At 40.7% G+C, this 3,299-nt stretch overlaps 1 annotated feature.

The window, feature by feature from the left end:
* Positions 484-1,050: an enhancer, noted in NCBI's record as "NANOG-H3K27ac hESC enhancer chr5:122087198-122087764 (GRCh37/hg19 assembly coordinates)". NCBI's record gives its function as "activates a minimal SCP1, AML or CMV promoter by ChIP-STARR-seq in primed H9 embryonic stem cells {active_cell/tissue: H9 hESC(primed)}" and the evidence as "EXISTENCE:reporter gene assay evidence [ECO:0000049][PMID:30033119]".

A 3,299-nucleotide genomic window follows, 5' to 3' on the forward strand; every position in this document is an offset into this window, starting at 1 on the left:
GTTTTTGTAGTTTTCACCCAGTGCAAGAAATCATCAAAAGACAAATGGGATATACACTAATAAAACAAAACAAACATGATCTCTCTACTAACACCATTTATAGTCACCTAGTTGGAAAGAAAGACCATAGCTCATGATTAGAGAGAGCTGTTAGAGAATTGTATGAGACACCTCCTGTGCACCACTTCTTAGCCTCTTTTCCTTGCCTCTTAATCCTGTCACAGCTTTGGTGACCAGTAGCAAGTTCTACCACCTTCATGCTCAGCCTGTCAGCAACAGCACCTCACCTCAGCCTGTTTTGAGTACCTCTTACTCCCTATCCCGGGGTCTCTCTGACACCGTCCCAGAGGACATTCACAGAACTCACTTAGCACTCACACGAATACAAATGCACATGTATGAGTCTTCTGCTCCCCAGGGGAGTTGCCCTCTAGAGACTGCATCATCCACCCTCTCTTGCCCTCTGGCTAATTGTGTTCACCCAGTGAGAGGCAATGGCAGGAGATCAGCGGGCAAAAAAAAAAAAAAAGGTGGATCATTTCTTCTTTCATTCCTGTCCTGTTCCAGCAGAAAGTTCCCATGGTGACTCTGTTGCTTTATAACTACAGCTCCTATGGGCAATCCCTCTTGCTTGCGTCAGCACATCAGCACGTAACAGGCCATTTCCTCCCCTGGTCCCTTCAGGCGGGGCAGTGATAACATTCCATTGTTGCTAGTCCCTGGATGCCTCAACAGTCCTTGCTGGTTCCCTTAGCCCTACCTACACCTCTGTAAATAGCTCTTTTACTAAATTATCTTCAAAATCTCAGCTTAGCATTCCTTCTGTTACAATTACAGACAGTCTTTTAAGAGCTAATAAGCTACCTCCTTTGTAAGAAAAGTACAGGCAAAAAGAATACAAGTAATAAATTAGCATAGTTTAATCAATGAACTCTATGCTAGAAAGCTGAAAGAAAGAAATCAGGTTGAAGAAAGTATATCATAAGAAAAAGATATTGGGGCCGGGCACGGTGGCTCATGCCTGTAATCCCAGCACTTTGGGAGGCCAAGGTGAGTGGATCACCTATGGTCAGGAGTTCGAGGCCACCCTGGCCAACATGGTGAAACCCTGTCTCTACTAAAAATTACAAAAATTAGCTGGGTGTGGTGGCGAGAGCCTGTAATCCCAGCCACTCGGGAGGCTGAGGCAGGAGAAATGCTTGAACCCGGGAGGCTGAGGATGCAGTGAGCCAAGATTGTGCCACTGCACTCCAGCTTGGGTGACAGAGCATGACTCTGTTTCAAAAAAAAAAAAAAGAAAGAAAGAAAGAAAAATATATTGGTTGGGCCGGGCATGGTGGTGCATGCCTGTAATCCCAGCACTTTGGGAGGTCAAGGGGGTGGGATCTCTTGAGCTCAGGAGTTCAAGACCAAGCTGGACAACATGGTGAAACCCTTTCTCTATAAAAAATACAAAAATTAGTCAAGCATAGTTGCACATACCTGTAGTCCCAGCTACTTGGGAGGCTGAGGTGGTAGGATTGCTTGAGCTTGGGAGGTCAAGGCTGCAGTGAACGGAAATTGTGCCACTGTACTTCAGCCTAGGGAAGAGAATGAGACTCTGTCAGGGAGAAAGAAAGAAAAGAAAAGAAGAGAGGAAGGAAGGAAGGAGAGAAAGAGAGGAAGAAGGGAAGAAGGGAAGGAAGGAAGGAAGGAAGGAAAGAGAGAAAGAAAGAAAGGAAGAAAGAAAGAAAGAAAGAAAGAAAGAAAGAAAGAAAAAGAAAGAAAGGAAGGAAGGAAGAAAGAACGAGAAAGAAAGAAAAAGAAATTGAGCTTATCAATACAAGTCAAAAGTTTGATAGGGAAATGAGATAAAGATCATTCTTATTTCTAAAGCTGAAGATACAATTACAAGGCTAGTCAAAAGAAATCTAAATACAAGAAATGGACTTGTATTTATTGTTTTTGATGTTTAACCAAATTAACTCTTATCGTATCCACATAAACAGTTCCTAAACATGGTCCTGGGAAGAGATATGGTGAACTAGCAATATTATTCATTCTAACAATATGTTGTCAGCAATTCACATGTCTGAAATGGTCATAAACAATGACTTCAAGTCTAAACACTATTAGCACAGGTCACTTGATTTACGAAAACTGTGATAAATAAATGAGCTTTTAGTAAATACTAACAATAGGCCAGGCCCTGTGCTGATGTGTTCGTGTATACCATCTCCATTTATTTTCTTTAAAACTGTGCTGGAATGCGCAGTTGTCATCTTATTGGACGCTCTCTTTCACAGAATTCCCTTCTCTGTATTGTTCCAAATTAGAGTTGGGCAAAGAGCTTGTTTAAGATTTGGAAGGCAGAGCAAGCAACAACAATGACTCTTGGGAGATTGTCAGACACAGTAAGAAACAGATGCAGAGGTGCCCAGCAGGTCCCAGCTTGTCTTCTCTGTCCCCTGACCAGCTGTGGCCCCAGGCTCACCATGCGATGCTTGCCTGTGGACTAACACAGCCTGTATCTTAGATGAGAAAATATTTTCTCCTGTACCACCTTACTCAAGAATCAAATCCTCCAGAGGTAGGGGGTGGGAATCCAGTCAGTCTAGCTTGGCTTACTTGCCTTCCCATGAGGACAAGCACTTTGATATACAAGGGATTGCATATTGAGAAATAGGTAACTCCTGGGAAAGGAAATTAAGGCTAGAGAAAGGGGAATGGATGCTAAGGGGCCAAAAATAACAAGAATATCAAGTGTCCAGCCTATGCATTTACCCACTATGTTCTGTGTCACTGACTAGCTAATAATAATAAACAAAATTTATTCAGTACCTTCTCTGTGCCAGTAACTCAGAATTTATATGTACTATCATATTTAATCCACACAATAATCATAGAAGGTAGGTACTTTTCTTTCTCTGTTTTCTCCTGTAAACTGTAACTGACCAGAGATGGATCTAGTTAGAGGTTTGACTCTAATATCAGAACTACTAGATTTTCAACACCAATTTTGCTAATTTAGGGGAAACTTTGCTGGAATTTTTATGAATCCATCAAGCAATAATCCCAGTACTGCTAATGTATATTGTAGTGACTAACTATATAGCATAAATCTGATCCTTCATTACATAGGAGAGTTCTAAGCTGCACGAGATATTTTATTTTATATTATTTGTTAAAGTTAAAATTTAAAAACCTAGTTTTTCCTTAAGCTTTTAATTATAATTCATAAATTCTATGTTCTATTTAGTGAATTTTAACACTCACTTTTAAGGGAGCTTTTATATATTAGTTAATCTAATGCTTTAAAA

The sequence above is a fragment of the Homo sapiens genome, chromosome 5 (assembly GCF_000001405.40).
Source record: "Homo sapiens chromosome 5, GRCh38.p14 Primary Assembly".
NCBI lineage: Eukaryota > Metazoa > Chordata > Mammalia > Primates > Hominidae > Homo > Homo sapiens.